The sequence below is a fragment of the Homo sapiens genome, chromosome 17 (genome assembly GCF_000001405.40).
Source record: "Homo sapiens chromosome 17, GRCh38.p14 Primary Assembly".
NCBI classification, from domain to species: domain Eukaryota; kingdom Metazoa; phylum Chordata; class Mammalia; order Primates; family Hominidae; genus Homo; species Homo sapiens.
Window position 1 is genome coordinate 6455675 of NC_000017.11, and position 23200 is coordinate 6478874.

The window sequence follows — 23200 nt, forward strand, 5'->3', positions numbered from 1 at the left end:
AGGGCAGGGCAGCAGCGCAGGGGGAAGAAGGGAGGGGAGGGGGAAGAGGGGAGGGGAGGGGAGGGGAGGGAGAAGAAGGGAAGCGGAAGAAGGGAAGGGAGAGGAGGGGAGGGGAAGGGACAGGCATCAGGCGGAGGGGTGGGGCAGGCCCCTTATCCTGATCCTGTCCCCATCATTTCCCGGGAACACTCTACGGAGGCACCTCCAGCTTCTCCAAGGAACCCTGGGGAAGTCGGGAGCTCTTTACTGTTCCAGGGTCCCCATCCTGCTTTGGACAACCATGCATCTCTACCTGTACCCATGGGTCACACCAGAGTTCTCTGGATTTTCTTTCCTATTTTATTTTAATTAATTAATTTATTTATTTGAGAAAGGGTCTCGCTGTGTCGCCCAGGCTGGAGTGCAGTAGCCCAGTCTCAGCTCACCGCAGTCTCAACTTCGCCAGCTCAAGCAATACTCCAGCCTCAGCCTCCCGAGTAACTGGGACCACGGGTACATGCCACCATGCCCAGCTCATTTTTTAAATTTTTTGTAGAAACAGCGTCTTGCTATGTTGCCAGGGCTGGCCTTGAACCCTGGGCTCAAGCAATCCTGCGTATCAAAGCACCAGGATTACAGGCATGAGCCAGGGTGCTTGGCCTCTGGATTCTTGAGGGTGGGGAAGCGCCCATCCTTGTCACTTGGCTCACTAGAATCCTGCAAAGTCCCTCCCGTCACGCAGCCTCACCATGCCTCTTGTCATTTTTCTGAGCCCTGCGACTGCCCTCCTTGCCAGTCCTTCTGGCTGTGTCCAGAGCCTTGCTACTCAATATGTGGTCCATGGACTCTGGCAGCATCAACACCACCTGGCACCTTGTCAGGCAGAACTTCCGGCCCTCTCCCCGCCCCTAGGCCTATGGAATCAGAATATGCATGTCAACAAGATCTCCAGGTGATGCTTGTGCACTTCAGAGTTTGAGAAGCAGGGCCTCTGAGTTCCCAACTGGGAGACGCCACCATCTCCTGACCCTCTACCCGCGGGTCACTCTCAGGCATTGCACACTTGACATGCCCCAGAGGGAGGTCAACTCCTTCCCTTCCACCTGCTGCGCGATTCCAATAGTGGCACCTCCTACGTGGTCACCCAAGCCACAGACCAAGTAGCTGTCCTCCACCTTCCCTTTCTCTCATCCTGCACATCTGATCTGGGCATTACCAAACCCAATCCATCCCCTACCAAAAAATGCCTCTCAGACCCTCCACTTTCTCTTCAATGTCCTCTCGGCTTTTCTTTCCTTCCTCTGAACCACCTGCCACCTGCAGCCTGAGGGAGCTTCCTGAATCACACACCTGCTCATCCCACACCCTCTCAGAGTCCCCACACAGGCCATCTTGGCCGCACTGACCGTTCTAGCCCCGCCCCCCCACCTCCCAGCTCACGTCCCATGCAGCCAAGCTGAGTCACTGGCAGTTCCCAGAATATACATGTTCTGTGTCACCTCCTGACCTTGGCTTTTGCTGCTGCCTCTGTCACAAATATTCTTCTCAATCTCAGGCCCTTCCTGGACCATTCCTTCAAATTCCGGAAACCCAACCTTGCCCTGGAGTCTGGGTTAGCGGTCCCTCTCCAGGGCCCCACAGTTCCCTGTGCTCCCGTCATACATCATGGCACTTGTTACACTCCACTGTCACCAACTGCAAATGTGTCCATCTCGCCACTACACTGAAGTTCATTGCATCTGGCTCCACTTGGGATTCTCCCCCTGCACCCAACACAGGCCCTGGCCCAAGGCAGGCACCCCGAAGTGTTTGTTGAATAAATGAATGAGCAAATGGGGGAATGAACAAATGAATGAATGAATGAATGAAGTGCTTACTCCCTCTATCCCTTTCCCTGACCTCCCTCACAACTCCCCGCCTCCAGCCCCGCCTCCACCCACCTGGCACTGGGTTTGGTACTTCTTGGTGGGCCGGCCCACAATGAAGATCTGGGAGGCAGGCAGGCCCAGCACGCTGTAGACAGAGATGTCCTTCGTGGAGCCATAGGCCGCACTGATTTTGATGAAGCACTGAAACACAGGGCAGGCATAGGGGGAGAGTGAGGCCAGCCCACCCCCTGGAAAGCCTTCCCAGGCCAACCCCAGGGGGCCCCTGCTTGGGGACCCTTTATGTGCACTCTGGTAGACTCCAAGCCATGGGGCCACCCTGTGTCAGGAATGAACCCTCAGAGTGGCTGCCCCTCCCTGCACCCCAGGCCCAACCCAGGTCTCTGCCCAGTAAACAGTCGTGACCACACCATTTACCGGCCCCGCCTCCAACAGCAGTACACTCAGGTTAAGTAATAATGAAGGCAAGCGTTCCTTTGTGGATAAGGAAATTGAGTTCCAGGTTTCTGGCTCACAGGGCCAGGACTGGAGGCCAGTTCTGCCTGGCTCCTGATCCTGTGCTGTCCACACCGCTCCACACTGCAGCTTGCCATGTGCCCACTGCCTCTCACTGGCTGGTGTGATGACCGCCCCCCTCCCCAACCCCAGAATCCCCAATTCAATTCAGAGAACTGCACAAGGTCCGTCTTGCTCCAGGGGCACTTCCAGACCATCACCCTTCCCTCCCCTCCCCAGGATAAACCCGATCAAACTACCTCCTCCTGTGAGGTGCTCGCCACCCAGCTGCCCCTCACTGTGTGCCTCCTGTCACTGTCATCTTCTTTTTCTCCCACTCACACTCCTCTCAAGCCATTGGAGACTTTGGTCCTGGGTCACAAGCTTTCCTTCCTGCCAAGCCCCACCATCACTGGGATGACCCACGGTCTGCATGACGTGAAGGATCTACCACCTCCCACCCGGCCTGGCAGCTTCGCACCTTCTTTCACGTCAGTGGCCGTCACTTCCAGGACCAAACTCAGAACCTGCCCCTCTAACTGTGAACTTCCACATGTCCGCTCCGCTCAGGGCTTCTGCCCCCTCCCCACCACTTCTCCGCCAGCCCCCACCTGGCTGCTCTCAGCCTTACTGACACTTGTCTTTTCTGCACCAGCCCTGCTGCCTCGCCCCTTCCTCATCCTGCCTGAGTGACCCATGGCATCCCTGTGTCCTTGCCTCCACCCCGGATTCTCTCACCCCTTCATCCTCCTCCCACACCTGCCCGGCCAAATCTCAGCCCTGGAAATTTTTTCCACTATCCACCTTGTGTTTTTGTACATGCTGCCCACCGAGAGCTGCTAAAGAAACAGAGCCACGCAGCTCTCACCTTCCATCTTCTTCCTGTCCTTCCCTGAGCCCTACCCCATCCTGCAGGTGACTGCCTTCGATGCTGGACCAAGGAGAGGGCTTCCTCAGCCCACTGCCCCTCACCTCAATGGTTGGTTTATTCCCAACTGGCCTTTGGCTCAGAGGATGGAGCAGCCCCTCTTCGTCTGGCCCTTCCACCTTCTCATTCACCTGAGCTCACTCCTATAACTTGGATCCTCCAGCTCTGGCGACCCTGCCTACCTGCCTCATGACCCTCCCAGCTGACACCCACTTTCTCTGCTCCTCTCCCTGCTACTTTTGCCCCCTTGTCCTTCCGAACTGTCTTTTCCTCACAAGGTCATCTGGTGGCCAGTCTTTGTCTACTAGGCAGTTCTCAGCATCCCACACCCTCGGCAAAAGGGGCGCTATCTCCTTGAAGCCCTCTCCTCCCGATACCTGGAGTCTCGTCTCTCTCTCCTGGTCCTCCTCCCCCTCACTCTCCTCCTGGTTCCTCAGCTGCTCCTTGTGCTGCTCTCAGTGGCCCAGCACAGCCTCTTCTAACGCCTCATCTCCCGTCTCATGGCTCCACTGATCCGTCTCATGCATCTGTTTCCCAGTCTCCACCTGCAGCCCAGAACTACCCTAAGCCATATCAGGTCCCGTGGCTGTATCAGCCTTGACATGTCCACAGCTGAGCTCATCTCCCTCCAGCCTGGTCCTCCTCTCATGTCCCCTCTCATTCACTCACTCATTCATTTATTCATTCTACCAACATTTATGGAGTCCCTACCATGTGGCATCATCACCCCCAATGCAGAAGCTATATTGGTGAGCAGAACGGACAGGCTCTGCCTCCATGGAGACCTTGGTCAGGTGTGTAGCACCTGGATCCCTCCTGGTCACCCAGCACGGGCATCTTAGAACTCCTCGCTCCCTGCATCCAACCATCCCTGAGCCCCGACTATTCCACCTCCTAATCCTGTCCATGTTTTTCTCTCCATCCCATACCCATCATCGCCTGGATTATGGTCTTCCTGTCTTTTGCTTGGGCAACAGCCCCCTAACTGGCCTCCCTGCCTCCAGTTTCTCCTGCCAATCTGTTCTCCACACAGCCACCAATGGGATCTTTCTATAAGCCAAATTAGACACTGCCACTTCCCTGCTTTAAACTCCTCCATGGCTCCCCGTGACCCTCAGCAGAGAATTTATGATCTTGGCCTGGTTTCCAAGGTTTTCAAGATTTGCCAAGTTTGGGCCCCTGATGACCTCTGAGGGCTCAGCTCCCACTTGTCCTGGGTTTAACCCTGCCTGCACTTATCCCAAGCCTGGAACGTCCCAAGCTCTCTCCTGCCTCCGTGCCTTTGCACATGCTGTTTCACTGTCTACCTGACAAATTCATGCTTCAAGACTCAGCTCAAAAGTTACCACCTCCTAGCAGCCTTCCCTGCCCTCCCTGGACAAACTGAAGTCCTTTCTCCTCTGTTTGCTAAAAGGGCCTTTTTCAACCACACACCAGTAGTTGTCAATTGACATGTCCTTCCTCCTCTAGATCAGGGATTTGCAGACTTTTTCTTTGAAAGGCCAGATAGTAAATATATCAGGCTTCGCACTGTGTCACCACTACTCAATTCTGCTGTTGTATTGCAAAAGCAATCATAGACAATACGTAGACAGATGAGCTTGGCTGTGTTCCAATCAAACTTTTTTTATTTAGAGACATTGAAATTCATGTAATTTGCATGTCATGAAATATCATTCTTTTGATTATTCTCTCCATCCATTTGAAAGTGTAAAAACCATTCTTAGCTGACCAGTCATATCAAAACAGGCTGTGGGCTGGGTTTGGTCATTATATGTCAACGCCTCTTCTGCTCTAGGTCAGGGATTCTTGATTAATCTTTCTGTGCATCAGAATCCCCTGGAGGGCTTGTGAAAAGGTTCCTGAGCCCCTCCCCAGAGTTTCTGATTGAGTAGGTCTAAGAGGGTGGCAGGAGGAGGCAGGGCAGATAATTTGCACTTCTCCCGAGTTTCCGAGTTTCCTGGTGCTGCTAGTGGGAACCATAGCTTCGGTCATGGAAAGCACATCTGGGTCACAGAAAGCACATCCGGGTCACGGAAAGCACATCCTCTGCCCCCCTGGTTCTGTTTGTCTCTGTGCAGCCCCAACAAGCACAGAGTAAGGAACACAATCGGCACTTAAATGTCTATTGGATGAATGGCCAGATGTAGAGACAAGAGTCAGGAGATAAAGGACGAAAGTCTGACTCAGATCTAGGGCAAGTTGCCGGAGCCTCACCTTTCTCCTCTGTCAACGACGAGACTAATAACCTACCTCACAGGGCTGCTAGAGGGCCCATCCAGATCCACGGGAATGGGATTTACAGACTGCACATCACAAGGCCCCACCCGGGAGGAGGGAGATGGGGAGCGGTGGAGAGGAGGGCTGCGCTCTCAAGCCATGGAGTCCCCACCCCAGGATGGCCACTCACCTCCTGCATGAGGTTGCGCAGGAAGATGGCCTTCTGCCGCAGCGGGTCATGCACCAGCCCATCGGAGAAGAAGATCATGCCCTGTGGGAAGTTGTGCTGGGACAGCCACGACACCACCCGCTGCTTCTGCATGTCCGGCCGTCCCGTGATGTAAAGGATCATGTAGCCCAAGTCCTGCCAGTGCCTGGTGAGATGGCATTAGAAGGGTCCAGCCCTGCCCAGTGCAGGCCACCTGATGCCCAGAAGCCTGCCCTGCCCGCAGCTGCCCTCCTGAGACGTCAGAGGGACGAGTCTGAGGCGTGCTAGGGAGAACAAGGGGGACCCCGAATCCCCTCTCTGGGCTGAGCCCTGGACATCTCCCCTGGATCAGGCCTGCAGATGCCACAGGCCCATATCCAAACTCATCTCCTCACCCCTGCCCCTCTGCTCACAGCCACTTCAGAGTCAGAGACAGGCGCCTTTCATTCTTCCCTGTTCCCTGTGCCTCCCTCCCTCCTCCTCCTCCAGGAAGAAAGCCTTTCGCTTTCACCAGGCCAGACTCTTTAACCCCTCCCCCAGCCCTCTCACTTAAGCCTTGCTTCTCATCCTTAGCTCGGGCCCCATCTCTCTCCTGGGCCACTACAAAAGCCTCCTGGGCGGCCTCTTTCCCTCCACCCCTACTCCTACCCACATCTAACCTGAGCCCTGTAACCCTGGGCAGATTACTCAACCCTCCCCAACCTCCCACGGTTTCAGTTTCCCCCTCTGTAAAATGGGCATAATAATATGAACTACCCCACAAGGTTGTCCTAAAGACGAAAGGAGTTAATCCCAAACATGCATAGCAAGGTGGTATGCTTGGTGTGGCTGGCTTTATTATTATCCTCCGCAGTGTTTCCATGGTGATTCCTGTACATCGCAAATCTAACCCCAGCACTCCTCTGTCTAACAGCATCTCCAGCTCCCCAGCGCCCTGAGGTAGAGCCTCAAGTCCTCTCTCTGCCTCTGTGGCCATGTCTCTGCTCTGCCTTTGCATATGGGATCTCTCCAGCCCACCCAGAGCTGCTTTGCTGCCCCCTGAACAAACCCTTGGCTCTTCTGCTGCACAGCACTCCCCTACACAGCCCCTACGGCACCATCTCCTGATATTCCCATCTTCCATCTTTCAAGACCCCCCTTCCTCCAGGAAGCCTTCCCTGCTTCCCAAGCAGAATCAGCCTCTTTCCTCTGTGCTCTCACAGTGCAGTGGGATAGCTCTGGTTGGCTGACTTCACACAGAATCCTGGCTGCAAGATGTCAGGTAAGCCCAGACCTGGTTGGGCACCTTTATGGCACCTGCCACCAGAACCAGCTAATAGAGATGGGGAGTTCTAAAACTGGATGATGATCTGAGGGATCTGGGGATGCTCTACACAAACTCAGGGGTGCAGGGATCACCCCTAGGGATTCTGGTTAGTTCTGATGTGGGGCCCAGTGATGTGTTTATGAAAAGGGGAGTTTCTGATGACTGTCGAGGTTTGGGGAGCACCATGTGGAGCACCATGGGGAGCACCCTGGAGCCCATGGAAGGCAGTGGGAGGATCATGGACCCCCAGAGAGGAAGGACCACAGCCTCCCCTTCCCTGCAGTGGGAGGGGGACTGTGACGCAGGAGGGATTTGTTGTAATGGCAACAAATGACCTAGCTCTACAAGGGGGAGGCTGGCCCCCTGAAATGGGCTTCAGCCTGTCTAGGCCTGTTCTTACGGAGCTGCTGGGCATCTTGAGGCCAGCAGTCTCCCAGGAGCCCAGGAGCCAGGCCCGTCTTCTCTCCCCAAAACCGTCACTGTTACTGGGGTGAGGCAGGGCAGTCTCCAGCCCCCAGGAACTTCCAGTGCCTGGCATCTGTCCTACTCTCGAGGTTCTGATCACTTGGAGTCCTGGGTTACAGTTTCTCATGCCTGTGACTTATTTTCCCCACCAGACTCTGAGTGTCCTCTGACTTAAGAGCTCGCTCTGCATCAGTGCCCAGCACACAGCCCAGCCACAGGGGGCCTCAGAAAGCAGCGGATGCGTGCACGAGTGCAGGGAGGGAGGCAGGGAGGGAAGGAGGGAGGCAGGGAGGGAAGAAGGAAAAAAGGAAGGAATTGAGGGAGGGAGGAAGGAAGTGAGGGAGGGAGGGAGAGAGGAAGAAACAGACAAGCTGAGGTCTAGAAAGCAGGAGAAATTTTCCCAAGGATACTCAATAAATTACTGTTGGAGGTAAAGCCAGGGCTTCTCAGCTCGCAGCCCCAGAGACCGGTAGAATTCCTACAGCAAATCAGAAAAACAACATATTTCCCCCAGGGCTGCTGGCTCCTGCCCCCCAGGGAGATATAGCCCTCGTGGAAGGTGGCACTCACCGGACAACATCCACTGCACCCGGCCGGACCTTGGGGTCGCTTCCCATGATAGACACGCTGGCCGCGAAGGACCCATCAATGCTGAACACTACACACTCCATGCCCCTGGGCAACACCGTGAGGTAGCTCATGGCACAGGTCTGGTCGCCCCTGAAAGAAACCTGCCTGTGGTCAGCCGTGAGGTCAGGGTCAGACGTTAGCCGGAATCCAGAGGTCAGCCTGTAGCTGCAGTCAGAGCTCAGTCTGGGTCAAGGTCAGAGAGCACCTGGGTGGCATCTCCTGATGCCACGGCTGGTGACCTCTCCCATCCACCTCTGTCCATGCAGACAGAGATGGGGGCCCACAAAGAACCCCAAGGACCCCATCCTCTAGACAGGCCTGGCTGGAAGGGCCATAGAAATGAGAGAAACCACCCTGAGAATGGCCCCTGGGTCTTACCTGACGACCATCTTCACAGGATAGACACCAACCCCCAGGCGCCGGGGCCGCGGCACATTGTATGTGATGCGACCACTGCTGTTGGTGATCTCTGTGTCCAGGTGTACCCAGCGGCCTGAGGATGGCTCTGCCATTACTAGGATGTCCACCTGCGGCAGTGAAGGGGGTCAGGGACTCCCTGAAGGCTGAGGGGCTACAGGCTTGGCAGAGGGGCTGGGCGGGGGAACTCTGGGCTGAGGTCCCTGCCTGACATTCCCTGGCTCCTGCCAGCCTGGCTCCTCATTTGTCCTTGGATACTCTGAGCCCATCCTTTCCTCCTTGCTCACCCTTCCCGGCCCGCCCAAGCAGGTGGGTAGCTCCTGGCCCTGTGCTTCCACCCCAGGCAGCTCGGCCCTCTTGACACCCTCACCCCACACGCTATGTGGCTCCATGAGGCACCTGGTGCAGGTGGAGTGGCTGAGGAGGGGAGGCCCAGCCCCAGGTACCTTCTCTCCAGTCAGAGCCACCATGTCGAGGGGCCCGTACATGAACCGCCCCACCAGGACCTGGGGGCCATCTTCAGCAGCAATCACATCATTGGCCCGGTGATTAGCCGTGACATTCTGGAAGGACAGAAAGAAGCTGGCTCAGCCCTTGCAAGGGAGGCTCAACCTTGCTTTATCATTGCAGTGTTCCTCAGACTGGCTGGAGGCATATCAGCTTGCTGAATCATGTCTCTCTACTAACTTCTGCTAGAGTTTCAGAGATGTGTTCCCAGGGAACGTGTGAGAAAAACAGACCGTGAGTCCCCCAAACGCTGTCTTCAAGGTGCACAGGGCTTCCTGCCATTGTACGTTTTCTGCTTTCGTGTTTTTTGTTTGATTGATTGTTTGTTTGTTTTGTTTTTTGTTTTTTGTTTTTGAGAAGGAGTTTTGCTCTTGTTGCCCAGGCTGGAGTGCAATGGCGCAATCTCGGCTCACCGCAACCTCCCGGGTTCAAGCAATTCTCCTGCCTCAGCCTCCTGCGTAGCTGGGATTACAGGCATGCGCCTCCACACCTGGCTAATGTCATATTTTTAGTAGAGATGGGGTTTCTCCGTGTTGATCAGGCTGGTCTCGAACTCCCGACCTCAGGTGATCTGCCTACCTCGGACTCCCAAAGTGCTGGGATTATAGGCATGAGCCACCGTGCCTGGCCCGTTCTCTGTTTTGACTCTGCTCGGCCCTGAGGGGACAACTGGCCTCACAGCCTGTGCTTATCTTCCAGATCCCCGGGCTGGAAACTGCCTGGTCACTTTTGGTTCTTTCTTCTACATCACAGCTCACATCCAACAGTATTTACTATCTGTCTTTTTTTTTAAGATAAAATTTCAAATGCACAAGCATAGAGAGAGAGAAGAGTGTAACAAAGCCTCGTGTTCCCAGCACCTGCTCCACCACTTAGCAACAAACTCGTGGCCATCCTGGTTTCGTTCTTCCCTTGCCCAATTCCCCAGCCTCGGCCCCAGCCCCACCGGGATTATCCTGGAGCAATCCTGGACGCTGCGTCATTTTATCTGTGACTGTCTCAACCTCCCTATTTTTCTTCATTTATCAATGAACTGGTTTCAGTTCATTCTGCAGCCTGTGTTGGCCCTGACCAGCCCCCACTCCCAGCCTGGCCTCCAAGACCCCAGTCTCTCCATCTAGTGACCACTCCTTTACCGCACTGGCCACATCTTCATCTCTCGCACAGCCACATCGCCTGGATGCTGCTAACAGCTCCCTAATGGAGCTCCTTCCTCAAAGGCAGTCCCTGCAACAGATCCTCTGTCTCTATAAAGCACAGCTCTACTAACACCCTCCCGGGCTCCCCACTGCCCTCTGCGTAGAGTCCGGAACCTGAGCTTAGCTTTCCAAGGCTTGCCTGAACGACCTCTTCAGTCTGTCTCCTGCTGCTCCCCATCCACACCTTCTGGTCCTTTCTGCCAGGCTCTGCAGCAGCCTCCAGGCCTTTGCTCACACCGCTGTCCCGCCCCCCACACTGGCTCTAGGTGCCATCCCTGGCCCTGGCCCTCTTCCCCCACATTCCAGCCCATTCGCTATGACTAGACTCAGCGCCATCATCGCCAAGAAACACTCCTCGGACTCCTCAAAGACAGGTTCTCAACCTCCTTTCAATTCCCATGCATTTTAATTCAATCCAACAAATATCTGCAGACACCTCATCTGCATGGGGTCCCTGAGATAAACTAGTCGTGGGCCCTGCCCTGGAGACACTCAGCCAAGTAGGGAACGCAGGCCCCCTTACAGGTGCACTGTCAGGGGAGAGGGAGCAGCTGGTTCATGAATATAAGCACCTGAAAAGATCCGGCATCCCGAGTCATTAGAGAAATGCAATCAAAACCACAATGAAATACCCCGTCACACCCACCGGGATGACTAGAATCAAACAGACAGATAATAACAGGGGTTGCTGAAGATGCGGAGAAATCAGAATCCTCATACATTGCAGTGGGAATGTGAAATGGTACAGTCACTGTGGAAAACAGTCTGGCAGTTCCCTATATGATTAACCATAGAGTTAACATTTGATACAGAAATTGCACTTCTAGGCATCTACCCGAGAGAAATGAAAACACAGGAGAAATGAAAAACACAAAAACTTATACATGGACGTTCATAGCAGCATTATTCATAGTAGCCGAAAGGTGAAAACACCAGCCTGGCCAACATGGCGAAACTCCATCTCTACTAAAAATACAAAAAATAAAATAAAATAAAATAATTAGCCGGGCATGGTGGTGAACACCTGTAATCCCAGCTACTTGGGAGGCTGAGGTAGAAGAATCACTTGAACCAGGGAGGGGAGGTTACAGTGAGTTGAGATTGCACCACTGCACTCCAGCCTGGGCGACAGAACAAGACTCCGTCTCAAAACAAAAAAAAAAAACCAAAAAAAAAAAACAGGTGAAAACAACCCAAAAAATGTCCATCAGGTAGTGAATGGATAAGCAAAACGTAGCATCTCCATACAACGGAATATTATTCAGCCTCAGAAAGGAATTTCTGACACAGCGACCAGTTGGATGAACCTTGAAGACAGTGCGCTAAGTGCAAGAAGCCAGACACAAATGGTCACATATTACATCATTTCATCGAAATGAAATGTCCAGAATAGGCAAATCTGCAGGCACAGAAAGTCGATTACTGATTGCCTGGGGCAAGTGAGGGAGTGTCAGCTAAAGGGTACAGAGCTTCTTTTTGGAGGTTATGAAAAAGCTCTAAAACTGACCATGGTAATGGTTGCACACATCTGTGAATATACTAAAATCCACTGAATTGTACTATCTAAATGGGTAAATTATAGAATATGTGGATTTTATCTCAATAAATATGTTTACCAAAAAAGAGTTGGTTCATGAAGGATTGATCTCCTTCTACCTTTTAGGACTGTTCTTGGGGTCCATGTCTGGTCTTTTCACCAGACTGGAGATGCCTACCATAGCAATGGTTGTGTCTGTACAACCCTGTGCTCCACTCTCTAGCAGAATGACTGAGACAGAGTAGGCACTGATGATCGTTTGTTGAGTGAATAAATAAATCTATGCACCTCAAACTCCTATTCATCCTTCAATACCCCACAGAGGAGCCTCTTCAGAGAAGCCCTGAATGATTTGCCCTTACAATCCTTCTTTCCATCTTTGTCTTAATCTGTACCTTCCTCTATCAAATATCACACCAGGCCATACTCAATGGTAAGTGACTGAGATCCAGGACTCTTTCTGATTCAAGTCCACATCTACTGTAGCCTGGCATATAGCAATTGCTCCATAACTGGTATCTCCTCACCAACCCTAGTGTCTTGGACTCCTGCCCTCAGGGCTCCTGTGGAACCAGGCCATGGGAAGCAACTCACACACCCTTGCAGCTGCAGTGCCTGGGCTCCATCTGAGTGTGAGCCCCAGCCTGTTTGGGTGCTGAGCTCTGAGGACAAATTGAAGCGCTTACCTCCCATGTGGATGCCCCAGCCCCCGGGCCAGCCCCACCTCCCGGAGGACACAGTCCCAGCCACATGCGAACTGAGCATGCACGCACCCTCAGCTTGACCTGAGTCCGCTTACGAAGCCACTTCTCCCGGGGGTTGGCAGGACTCAGTGCTGCAGGGTCCAGGCGGGCGCTTTCCTTGATGTTCACGCTCTCATAGCGCATTACCTAGCCAAGAGCCGAGCAGGGCCCCGGTCAGGTCTTCTGGCTTCTCTGCTTCCCTCCCAGGGTGTCAGTGCCCACCAGCTTGTGGCCAGCTGGGCCCTGCCCCTGCAACCCCCCAACCTCACAGCCTGGAACCGTCAGGAGGCCGCAGACCCCGGGACCTGCATTCCTGTCCTGATAGCTGGGGCCAGAGCAGTCTCCCAGCTGGCTCCCTTCCTGAGAGAAGTCTCTGCCCCGCTGTGCCCAAACCTGGCAGCCACCTCTATCTGTCCCCACTCTCTGCCCTCCCTCTGTTACAACAAGGTGGCCCTTTCTTAAGGCCGGCTTGAGTCCTGATCCCAGCCCCTCCTTGCTTCTTGAGGACGTTGCTCCAGCCATGCTCCCCTCCCAATCCCGCAGAGCTGATTAGACTCCCTCCGCTAGATCACTCTCCTTAGCATTCAAATACGTGTAATACTGCCCATCTTAAAAAATACTCTCTCAGATTCCTCATGCCTCTCCAGTGACCGCCACATCCCTGCTGTCCCTCACAGCAGCACTGACAGAGGACTTAGCCCATATGCTGTCACCCCTTCCTCACCTGCCCCCTCTCCTCCACCCACTCCAGTCAGGGTTCTTCTCCATCACTCCTCTACGGAAGCCATTCTTGCCACTGCCCCGGTGACTCCCACCCCGCCTATCTCAGGGGTCCTCTCCCTACACTCTCTGGGTCCTCCAACCTCAGGGATGTCCTCTTCTCTCCTTCAGTGGCTTCTCCTTCTCTCCCTGGGGGAGCTCCAGGACTCATCCCTGAACTTCCCTCTCTGTAGGAGCACCCTTAGTCTGGCACTCATCGCCAGTTGTAAATGCCGTCCAAGCTCTGATGACACCCACATTTTTATCTGGAATCCTGATGTCTTCTCTAAGTTCCAGACTCCTCTACTCCCCTTCCGTCCCAGCAACTAAGAGGCAGCTCACACTTCACACACCCAGACAGTCGTGGATGTGCCACGTGGGGCACAGGTTTGGGCTGGAGCACCCTGGCCTGGGTGCCACCGGGCTGGGGACCCACCCCCAGCCCAGCACACTCTCTCCCACCCCCAAGAACCTACAAACAAAACTCACTTTCCTCCGCCCCCTGCCCAGCCCTGCTCTTCCGCACGTGCAGGACACAGAACCACCTTAGTCACTCAAGTGGGAAACAGGACGTACTGGGCTCCCGTCTTTCTCCTACAACGCAGACAGCCACAAGCGCTCTCACCGTAATGCAAATCTTGCCACTCTGTGGCACCTCCACCCCCTGTCCTACTCCAAGCCTCCTCTCTAAGTTGGGCCCCTGCACTGGCCTCACAAGAGGCCTCATGGTTCCTCTCCTGCCGTGAAAACAGCAGCCTCAGCCTCAGGGTTTCCTTCAAAAAACACAAGCCAGTTGCTATTTCTTCCTTGCTCACAGCCCTGCAATGGCTTCCCGTTGAACCCAATATAAAACCATACCCCTGACCTTGGCCATCACGGCTGTTCATGAACATCATGACCCCTACCAGCTCCCCAGACTCCCTCCCCACCAGGCTCTCCTTCTGGCGCCGGCCTTTCTGCTATACCTTCTGTTTTGCAGACGAGGACATTGAGACTCAGTGGGGAGTGGGAACTGACTACTCCAGTCTCCAAGTTGAAACACTGGGACACTCTCCTGCGTAGTTTATATTTAATTTTCTAGAGTGTACCATGCCGTCAGCCACCCAGGAGCCAATGTCTTTATGAAGCCCATTCTCTGGTCATGTCACTCCCCACTCACGTAGGTGCTCCAATGCCTTCCTCATGCTCTTAGGATCAAGGCCAAAAGCTGAACAGTGTCTGCAAGAATAGCCTCCTCTCCAGCTGGAGAAGGGGCGGTACCCCCTTGGGGTGGCTGTGGGCAGGCCCGCGACTGCGGCAGCAGTACCTGTCTCAGGATGAAGGCCACCACGTCTGTGGACTCCCAGTAACTGGCGTGGAAGAGGTGGGGCAGGGCCACGGTGGGGAAGGCCGTGAGGACATCAGGGCAGTACAGGGCATAGTCGATCCTCTTGCTTCCCCACCACTTGGCTGTGACTGTGGGTCGGAGAGGAAGGTGAGGATGCGTGGCCGGCCCGGGGCCTCACCCGAGGGGCAGCGGGGTCTCCCATTGCACAGACTGGTGGTGGATGCCCCACGTGGGGCACGGGTTTGGGCGGGAGCACCCTGGCCTGGAGGAGGCCTGGGGAACGCGCTGCTCTTCCTCCTTCCTTCTCAAAACCCACCAGCCCTCCCCTAAGATGTGCGTGCCAAGCCCATGCCCAGGAAGGAGGGCCAGACCCACAGAGACGTCCACAGTCTCACCCAGGGCCGCCGCTCAGTGGCAGTTCCCAGTGGGCTCTGCCTGAAGTTGGCGCTGAGTCTATGTCTGGAAGGTTCAGCACTTCCTTAATGGTCAGAGGTCAGAGCCCTGTCCAGGGTCAAAGGTCAGGGCTCTGTTTGAGGTCAAAGCTCAGACCCTGTCAGGGATCAGGGGTCACTGCTCTCCTCAAGGTCAGAGCTCTGATTTGAGGCAGGGTCAGAGTTCAGGGCTCTGTCCAGGGTCAGAGGTCAAGGTTCCTCCAAGGTCAGAGCTCAGTTTGGGGCCAGAGTGAGGATCTGGACCGATGCCAGGTCTCCATCAGCAGACGCCCAGCTCTCTAAAGGCAGAAGCAAGCCCCCAGGACTTCCTTCACCTTCTCCCTATCCCAGGGCCTGCCCTCAGCAGCTCTAGCAGTGGCCCAGCAAACACCCAGAGGAAGGTTCCCCTCCCCCGAATCCAGGCAGGGCCCCAAAAGGACCTCACTCACTGCGGGAGGCACCCACGGGTGCCATGCTGTCCGAGGACTCCGAGCTCTCGCTGTGGGAGCTCCCCTCGCTCATCCTCCGTCCTGGGCGCTGGAACCTCGAGGCCTGAGGGGGCGAGGCAGGGGCATCCAGAAGTGGCGGGCTGTCCCGGGAGCTGCCCTCCAGGAAGAGGGGGCTGTGGGTGTGTAGGGCATCAGCTGGAGGGGGAATTTCAAGGTCAGGCTGAGTCACGTGTCTCCAGCAGAGCTGCCCACTCAGTGCCAGCCCCATGCTGGGAGGGAGGCTGGGCACTTGGAGGAGTCAGCCCCGGCTCTGCTCACTTGCCAGCCCAGCAGGCACCTGCCCCTCTCACTGTGCCCACCCCACCAGTCCCCTGGGCCTGAAGGGACCCCGCTGCCACCGCATATTGCCGCATTTACCTCCTTGCAGCTGTGAGTTATGCAGACACAAGCTGGAGTCCCAGCCATCACCCCTACCTCCAATAAAGCTGCAGAGGGAGCCTCTGGGACGTTGCCCCAAAAGCACCAGCTGAGGTCCCAGGAGTGACTCATAGCCATATCCTCTCTTATCCAACTCCTCCCCTGCGCCACAAAGAATTGAGGCTGCCTCTGGAAGGGAATGGGGACTCCAGCCTGAGAGCTAGGATAGCCTCAGGGGAGGGAGGGGAGTCCCCTGACCAAAGAGGGATCCATGGGGGAGGGAGGTTTCCAGCCTAGCCGACCTATTGAAGCTCCAGGCAGGCAGGGATTTGGAAATAAAGGCTCCATTGAATTAGGGGTGAGGAAGGGATGGTTTTTAATCCTGAATCGGCCCCATGCACAACTCCCCCATCCCTGACGCAAACCTCTGAGCAGGCTTAGGCTAAATTTCCTCAAGTAGGGCGTGGAGCCAAGGCTCCGATTTCCAAGCTGCTGACTGTCCATTACAGGTCTCCCATCGACGATACACTCGGTCCATGCCCGGTTCACCCCACTTGACCCTGGAGGCCACTGGCTCTTCGCCAAAACACCTGCCCTCGCTCCTGCTGTTCTCCCTGCCTGGAAGATCTCAACCCTCATCCTCTAGCTCTTCTCCACCTGCCCAAATGCACCTCCCCTCTCTGGACCCTAATCAAAGGCCACCTCTTCCATGAAGCCCACCAGGATGGCACACTCTCTGCCCTACCCCTTCAGAGTCCAGGCTGGGCACTCATAAAAAAAATAGATTGGAGCACGGATCCCTGGACCCGCCATCAGCTCTGAAAGCTCAAGTTTACACCAGCCCTGGCCACAGGAGTGTGTCCGGGAGCCTGTTGGGGGCCTCTGAGCCCCAAGATGCCTCAGACAAGCAGGTGCTTAGCACAGGTGGGCGACTCTGAAGACAGAGGAGTCGGCTAACCTTCTGTTCTCACAGCCCCTGCTCAGGTGAGTCACCCTACTCACTGAGAGCTTGGAGGGGTTGAATGGGCTGGGGCCCCACCTCCAGCTCAGCACACTCTCTCCCACCCCCAAGAACCTACCGAGGAGGAGGGACTGCCCATCGCCCAGTGGGAACCTCTGGTAGCGAGGCACGCTGACAGGCGGCACCAGGTGGAACTTGGGCTCCAGCAGTGGCTCGAGCCGTGAGGCAGAGGGGTCTGCGCAATGGAAGAAGCTGTAGACCTGGCTGCAGGCAGGACGCACCTGGAAGCCTGGGGTGAGTGGGAAGACAGAGGGAAGCCACTTTCTAGTACCTGCTCCCTGGGCCCTAGGAGGCTCCCTGGAATGCAGCCTGGAGTAGCCTACTCCCCTCTCAAGAGCCTCCCCGGGCTCCCTGCTCCCCACGGGAACAAAGCCATTACGTTCAGTTTGTCTCCCCACCCAGGAGCGCAGTGACAGGCACCCAGCACTGCAGCCGTGCTGCACAGCTGCCCTTCCCCAATCAGGCTTGCAGCTTTCCTTTCTCTGAGCCTTTGCTCAAAACATCCCTTCTCCTTGTGGGCCCTCCCTCCCCCATTTCCACGGGGCAACTCCTTTAGATTCTTCCAGTTTTCACTCAGTTACCACCTGACCTAGGAAGCCAACCCAGGTTCCTTCAGGCAGGTCAGCTGCCCCTTCCACAGGCCTCAAGGCTATAAACACTCAGTTCCCAGGCCTGCTGCTAGAGTTCCAGGTTTGCCAGAGCTGGTGGAACACTTCTCTCGCTGACCAGCAGGTGTCTCCACTGAGGCATCCACCTCATCGGCGGGCCTCCCTGTCCTCCTAGAACAGGGACTGGACCGTCCAGCATCCAGGGAGCCCTAGGGTTCATTAGCGACACTGAGGGCAGCCATGGGGTTCTGCCTCCTCGCCTCCATTTCTACCACCCACTTTATCTGTTCCATACTGTAGCTTGTCAGTAAGCTTTGGCCAAAAGCATGGATCTGTGGATACCCAAGGTGCCCTGCAGCCTCAGACGGTCTGTACTTCTGTCCTTAAGAGTCACAGATACCCTCCCCACCCCTCATGCCTGCTGGTGCCAATCGCCTGGTGTGTACATTTTAGAGGAGCAGGAAAAGGCATTCGAGGTTGCAGGTATTAGCCGGGCACGGTGGTTCACGCCTGTAATCCCAGCAATTTGGGAGGCCAAGGCGGGTGGATCACTTGAGGTCAGGAGTTCGAGACCAGCCTGGCCAACATGGTGAAACTCCATCTCTACCAAAAATACAAAAATTAGCTGGGCGTCATGGTGGGTGCCTGTACTTCAAGCTACTCGGGAGGCTGAGGCAGGAAAATTGGTTTAACCCGGGAGGCAGAGGTTGCAGTGAGCTGAGATCGCGCCACTGCACTCCAGCCTGGGTGACAGAGTGAGACTCCATCTCAAAAAAAAAAAAAAAAAAAAAGGTTGCAGGTATTGCATGAGCAAAGGCACCTGAGGTGGGCTTGGGGATATGCGGGGGTGGGTGGTGAGACCAACCTGGCAGTCGTATCTGCCTCAGTACAGGAGAAGGAGAGGGTGGGAGGCAAGAGGTTGAATATTCTGTCTTCTCTTCCCCATAGGGCGTGACCACCGGACAATGAGGCCACAAAGCAGCCAGGGGCACTTGACATGGAGAGTGAAATCCATCTGAAGCTGCCTCACCTTCGCCCTGTGTCAGGAGGGAAGCTGCTCCTCTCTCCCTCCTCTTCCCCACCCTCTCTCCTCTCTTTCCACCTATCCCAACTCTGTGACCCTCCCTGCCCCTGTCCCCGACTTCACTCTCCTCATTCTGAGGCCCTGACACGGTGGCCCTAGTGACGCACAGGCACCTCAGGCCCCAGCCCACACCATCCCTACCGTCCAGCCCAGGCAGCACCGTCCTCCGCATGGCCAGGACCAGGCCCAGTGGCGAGCCGAAGAGGAAGAAGTCGGACACATCGAAGTCAAAGCGGCCCAGGCTGACCTCAGGGAGCTGCGGCCCCCCAGCCGCCGGGGTCTCAGACTCATCCTTTAGCACGCTGGAGTGGATGCTGCGGAGGGAGGAGGACGCAGGGCAGGGCAGGTCAGGGAAGGACCGAGAATGCGGGAGTGTTCACACAGCAGCGCAGCCTGAATTCTGAGCGTGAAGTGCCCAACCCTCCATCTCTGGGGCGGGGCTGAGAGTCCACCGGCTGCACACCACCTACAGTCAGCACTGGCCACCAAGGCCTGGCTGATATTTGGCTAGAAAAGGAATCAACAAACTTTTTCTGCAAAGGGCCAGAGAGTCAATATTTCAGACGACATGGACCGTGTGGTCTCCATTGCATCTAGTTAACTCTGCCATTGCAGCATAAAAGCGCCCATGGACAGTGATTAAATATGCATGGCTGGGATCCAATCAAATGTTACTTACAAAAACAGGCTGAGCACCTGGGGCGCCTGAGCATCCTACACACTGGCAGGCCTGCCTCGTCATGCTGGCTTTGTGTTGGCCACACTGAGGATTCCTGCACTGTGTACCAGACAAGCCCAGCCTGCCCAACACTCAGCTGGCTAACGTCAGTTCTGTTCTGCTGGGATCAGGGCTTTCATCGTAATTCCTGTTCCAGGCAACCCGCAGACACAGATGCAAACAGCTTGGTCTCCCCACCCCCAGCCCCAGCCCACAGATGAAGCAGAGCTTAAGGAGAAAAATGTGAGACACACAGAATTCCAACCATTTCCAACCCAGGTGCCCACTGTCCCGGGAAGAATCCAAGTTACGTTCAGCCACAGACCCAGAGTAGGACGCTGAGAATCAGAAGGAAACCTGGGCACCTCCCTGACCTTCCAGCTAGCCATTAGCTGCAGCTTAGAGTGAATCGATTAACTGAATGCAAAGCAACTAAACTACTTGAGTCAGAGGAGAACAAACTTTAGAAAGAGCTATTGAAATCATGTGGACAAGTGCCCCACCCTCAGGAGTGAGCGAGTCTGCAAAGTTGAATCCTCAGTCTCCGCACTCCCTCCTGCCTCTTGCAGTGTGAGCATCTCACAGTGAGATGATGACTCTGATGTTTAACAATACATATTTCATGTACAGCGTGGTCCCTAAACACATGCCAACTACTTAATTGCCAAAGAAACCACCATCTGTCCCTACACCAGAGGGGAAAGCTGGCTGTGTCAGACCAGCTCCTGGAAGCCTCCAACTTCTCATCACTCTCCAAATTTGGGGCTCTCCTAAAGGATTTTTCAAGGATGAGCCAGGACTGTTGAGATTTTTCACCTTGCAAGCCTCACTAGAAGGTAGCTGCTTTTCTAAAGGATCATCTGTCAGCGGGGCTTTAAACATTCAGAGATTTAAATGTGCAGAGTCTTTGACCTAATAATTCTTCCTCCAGGAATCCATCCAAATATAATCACCCTAATATATACATTAACGTTTATGCACAAAGATGTTCACTGTAGGGCTATTTATACTGCTAAGGAATTGGAAACAGCCAAAATGCCTAATTATAGGGATTAAGTAAACTGATATCCATTCATTCGACATTATATTGCCATTAAGAATATTTATCAAGTATTTTTAATTATATCAGGAAAAGATCACAATATAAAGGGTTTTTTTAAAATAAAACGATCTTAAAAGCATGTAGAAGGAAACAGTCTCTATGTTAACAATGAGACTGTTGGCTCCCTCTGGGTGGTGAGATGATTATCTTCCAAATGTTGTAATGACCTCATGATACTTATCACTTGGGTAAGGAGGAAGGAGAAAGGAAGGAAGAAGAGAGCTGAGGAGCAGAGGAAAAAGAAAGAGACATTCCTTCCAATTTGGGTCCAAGTTCAATTAACGTGTAAGCTGAATTAATGTGCAGATAATGTGTTTAGCCCACATTGATTAACATGTCTCTTCTAGAAAGTTAAAGGGCAAACAGTTCTGTAGAGGAGCCTGCCTGGCCCATAAACAAAAGTGTGTTGGATTAGATACATGAACTTGGGATAGGGAGACCAGAATGATGATCCCAGCTCTTCCGTCACTGGCTGCATGACCTCTAGAAAGTTCCTGACCTACTTGACCCTCTCTTTCCCTATGAGAAATGATAACAACACACACCTCGGGTGACTCACAAAACACAGTCACAGCAATTACTCCGCCAGGTTCTTAAAACCATGCAGTGAAGTAGGCTGGGCAGCATTATCTTTTTGCAGAAGAAAAGCCGAGGCTCAGAAAAGGACGACTGTTCCCAGTCTCTCTGCAAGTCAGAGCAGGGCAGGGACAGGGAACCAGGTTCCAGAGTCTCAGTACAGGGCTGCCGACGAGTGGCTGTGGTCCCTCAGTACAGGGCCGATGGCGAGTGGCCTTGGTCCCAGCATTTCAGTGCTTATCTATGGGCCCCCATGGAAGGGCCTGGGACATCTGACTGGTCACAGCCCTCCCAGTTGGCTCTGAGCCAAGGTCTTCTTGCTTCTGGACAGGGAGGGGCTACCTTGAGAGGAAGGCATGGTGCTGGGTGATGGCCTCGCAGTCATAGGTGGAGGAGTCGCTCTGTTTCCGCGGCAACGGCCTCTTGGGCTCCTCATCCTCCAACCCACTGGAGATGTCAATGTTGCTTTTGCTGAGACGCTTGCTGCTGGCCAGGCTGCAATCTTCCTCCACCGCGACTGGGGTGTCCTTTGGGACCGAACAGGGGACAGGAGAGAAAAAGACTGTTGTCACGGGAGACTCTGGGGCCTTGTCTCCTCCCCCCAAGCACAAACCAACCCCTTCATCCTAAGATGTGAGGGGCTACCCTTCTTCCAAAAGACACAGGAAGCCACATTGCAATCATGGTAGGATTTTAGGCACAGGCTCTCTCCCGCATCCACCGGGATTGACATTCCCACTGGGATGCTGGATGGCTGTCGAAGGGGCCAAATCCAGCTCTCCAGGCCTCAGTTTCCACACCTGTCATAATAATCCCCTGCTACTCTTGTAGAATTATGATACACTTCTTCTTCTTCTTCTTCTTTTTTTTCCTTTTTGAAACAGAGTCTCCCTCTGTCACACAGGCTGGAGTGCAGTGGTGCGATCTTGGCTCACTGCAAACTCCACCTCCTGGGTTCAAGTGATTCTCGTGCCTCAGCCTCCCAAGTAGCTGGGATTACAGGCACCCACCACCATGCCCGGCTAATTTTTGTATTTTTAGTAGAGATGGGATTTCACCATGTTGGCCAGGCTAGTCTCAAACTCCTGACCTCAGGTGATCTGCCCACCTCGGCCTCCCAAAGTGCTGGGATTACAGGCATGAGCCACTGCGCCCAGCTGGATTATGATACACTTCTTTGTGACCTGGATGTCATGGTGCCAACGTGAAGAACCAGCACTCTCTCCCCGAGGGGCAGGCCCTGCTCCTATGGGCATACCCCTCCCGCGGTCCTGTCCCCCGGCTGTACCTGGGTGCTGCTGATGCTCCCCTTCCGGCTGCTGCTGGCAGGGCTGTCCCCTGAGGGCCCCGCACTGTAGCAGATGGCATCGAAGGCCAGGAGGCCCCCCACACAGTCCCCGATGAGACACACCTGGAAGAGATGCAGCTGGGACTGCAGGCCTGCCCACTGCTGACCCCTCACCCCCACACCCGGCCAGAGCAGTGCTGCCTCCCCACAGGAGAATGAGAAACTCGTCCTTGGGAGGTGTTGAGAGAGCCCAACTGGGAAGCAGTGTGCAAACTGGGGAGGGTCAGGGTTGGCGTTGGCCCAGGCCAGCCCAAGGACGGGGAGTAGGCTACTCTCAGGGGTCAGACTTGGGCTAGAGAGCAGCATGGGCTCAGAATCAGAACTCAGACTGTTGGCCTCTGTTTTTCTATCTGTAAAATGAGGGCTAACTCAGAGATCTCAAAAGCCACCTTTGGGCTCAGAGGCTGATTCGAGAACAGCCTGGCCTTGGCCCTTTCAGTAGATTCCAGCCTCTCTCCCAGGCCGGGGCCGGAACAGGGGAGGGGAGAGGAGGAGAGGGCAGGCTGTCCTACCTGCCCACTGAAGCCAATCCCATCAGAGGACTTCAGGAACTCTCTGTAGACCTGGTTGGCTCGCTCGATGACGGTGGCGACAGCATCCTGGTACTGCGGGGAGGAGATGGCCAACAGGGGAAGGGCGGCCAGAGGGACGTGGTCCTGGCTGCTGCTGAGGCAGCCCTCATCGTGGCTGTAGGGGTTCAGGCTGCAGACAGGGGGCCCAAGGTGAGCCCAGCCAGGATCGGGCAGGTTGGCAGGTTTGGGGCTGAGGATCAGGCAGAAGAGAGCACATACTGGCCAGGAATTGGGCTCCAGGGACCCTTCAGGAAGACCCAGGCAGGAG

The 23200-nt window shown here is 54.9% G+C and overlaps 1 protein-coding gene across 5 annotated transcripts in view, besides 8 other annotated features; it reads right to left on the reverse strand.

Moving 5' to 3' along the window:
* The window catches only part of PITPNM3 (PITPNM family member 3), a 105293-nt gene that overhangs the window by 4412 nt on the left and 77681 nt on the right, over window positions 1–23200 (reverse strand). For 2 of the 5 annotated variants that reach the window (NM_001165966.2, NM_031220.4), the window contains 13 exons: window positions 22873–23062; window positions 22301–22423; window positions 21355–21539; window positions 18758–18930; window positions 16983–17153; window positions 15487–15681; window positions 14586–14734; window positions 12551–12667; window positions 8981–9097; window positions 8496–8644; window positions 8058–8207; window positions 5699–5882; window positions 1920–2048 (listed from right to left, as the gene is read on the reverse strand). In NM_001165966.2, the coding sequence (NP_001159438.1) occupies window positions 1920–2048; window positions 5699–5882; window positions 8058–8207; window positions 8496–8644; window positions 8981–9097; window positions 12551–12667; window positions 14586–14734; window positions 15487–15681; window positions 16983–17153; window positions 18758–18930; window positions 21355–21539; window positions 22301–22423; window positions 22873–23062 (2032 nt within the window). Of the gene's footprint in view, window positions 1–1919; window positions 2049–4894; window positions 5295–5698; window positions 5883–6530; window positions 7966–8057; window positions 8208–8495; window positions 8645–8980; window positions 9098–12550; window positions 12668–14585; window positions 14735–15477; window positions 15682–16982; window positions 17154–18757; window positions 18931–21354; window positions 21540–22300; window positions 22424–22872; window positions 23063–23200 lie in introns of those variants that run through there. The other 3 variants (XM_011524015.4, XM_011524016.4, XM_011524017.4) reach the window with 3 other exon arrangements.
* Window positions 1915–2696: an enhancer, noted in NCBI's record as "H3K4me1 hESC enhancer chr17:6360909-6361690 (GRCh37/hg19 assembly coordinates)". NCBI's record gives its function as "activates a minimal SCP1, AML or CMV promoter by ChIP-STARR-seq in primed H9 embryonic stem cells {active_cell/tissue: H9 hESC(primed)}" and the evidence as "EXISTENCE:reporter gene assay evidence [ECO:0000049][PMID:30033119]".
* Window positions 2697–3478: an enhancer, noted in NCBI's record as "H3K4me1 hESC enhancer chr17:6361691-6362472 (GRCh37/hg19 assembly coordinates)". NCBI's record gives its function as "activates a minimal SCP1, AML or CMV promoter by ChIP-STARR-seq in primed H9 embryonic stem cells {active_cell/tissue: H9 hESC(primed)}" and the evidence as "EXISTENCE:reporter gene assay evidence [ECO:0000049][PMID:30033119]".
* Window positions 8021–8572: an enhancer, noted in NCBI's record as "H3K4me1 hESC enhancer chr17:6367015-6367566 (GRCh37/hg19 assembly coordinates)". NCBI's record gives its function as "activates a minimal SCP1, AML or CMV promoter by ChIP-STARR-seq in naive H9 embryonic stem cells {active_cell/tissue: H9 hESC(naive)}" and the evidence as "EXISTENCE:reporter gene assay evidence [ECO:0000049][PMID:30033119]".
* Window positions 8573–9124: an enhancer, noted in NCBI's record as "H3K4me1 hESC enhancer chr17:6367567-6368118 (GRCh37/hg19 assembly coordinates)". NCBI's record gives its function as "activates a minimal SCP1, AML or CMV promoter by ChIP-STARR-seq in naive H9 embryonic stem cells {active_cell/tissue: H9 hESC(naive)}" and the evidence as "EXISTENCE:reporter gene assay evidence [ECO:0000049][PMID:30033119]".
* Window positions 14140–14640: an enhancer, noted in NCBI's record as "H3K4me1 hESC enhancer chr17:6373134-6373634 (GRCh37/hg19 assembly coordinates)". NCBI's record gives its function as "activates a minimal SCP1, AML or CMV promoter by ChIP-STARR-seq in naive H9 embryonic stem cells {active_cell/tissue: H9 hESC(naive)}" and the evidence as "EXISTENCE:reporter gene assay evidence [ECO:0000049][PMID:30033119]".
* Window positions 15673–16196: an enhancer, noted in NCBI's record as "H3K4me1 hESC enhancer chr17:6374667-6375190 (GRCh37/hg19 assembly coordinates)". NCBI's record gives its function as "activates a minimal SCP1, AML or CMV promoter by ChIP-STARR-seq in primed H9 embryonic stem cells {active_cell/tissue: H9 hESC(primed)}" and the evidence as "EXISTENCE:reporter gene assay evidence [ECO:0000049][PMID:30033119]".
* Window positions 18383–18975: an enhancer, noted in NCBI's record as "H3K4me1 hESC enhancer chr17:6377377-6377969 (GRCh37/hg19 assembly coordinates)". NCBI's record gives its function as "activates a minimal SCP1, AML or CMV promoter by ChIP-STARR-seq in naive H9 embryonic stem cells {active_cell/tissue: H9 hESC(naive)}" and the evidence as "EXISTENCE:reporter gene assay evidence [ECO:0000049][PMID:30033119]".
* Window positions 18976–19567: an enhancer, noted in NCBI's record as "H3K4me1 hESC enhancer chr17:6377970-6378561 (GRCh37/hg19 assembly coordinates)". NCBI's record gives its function as "activates a minimal SCP1, AML or CMV promoter by ChIP-STARR-seq in naive H9 embryonic stem cells {active_cell/tissue: H9 hESC(naive)}" and the evidence as "EXISTENCE:reporter gene assay evidence [ECO:0000049][PMID:30033119]".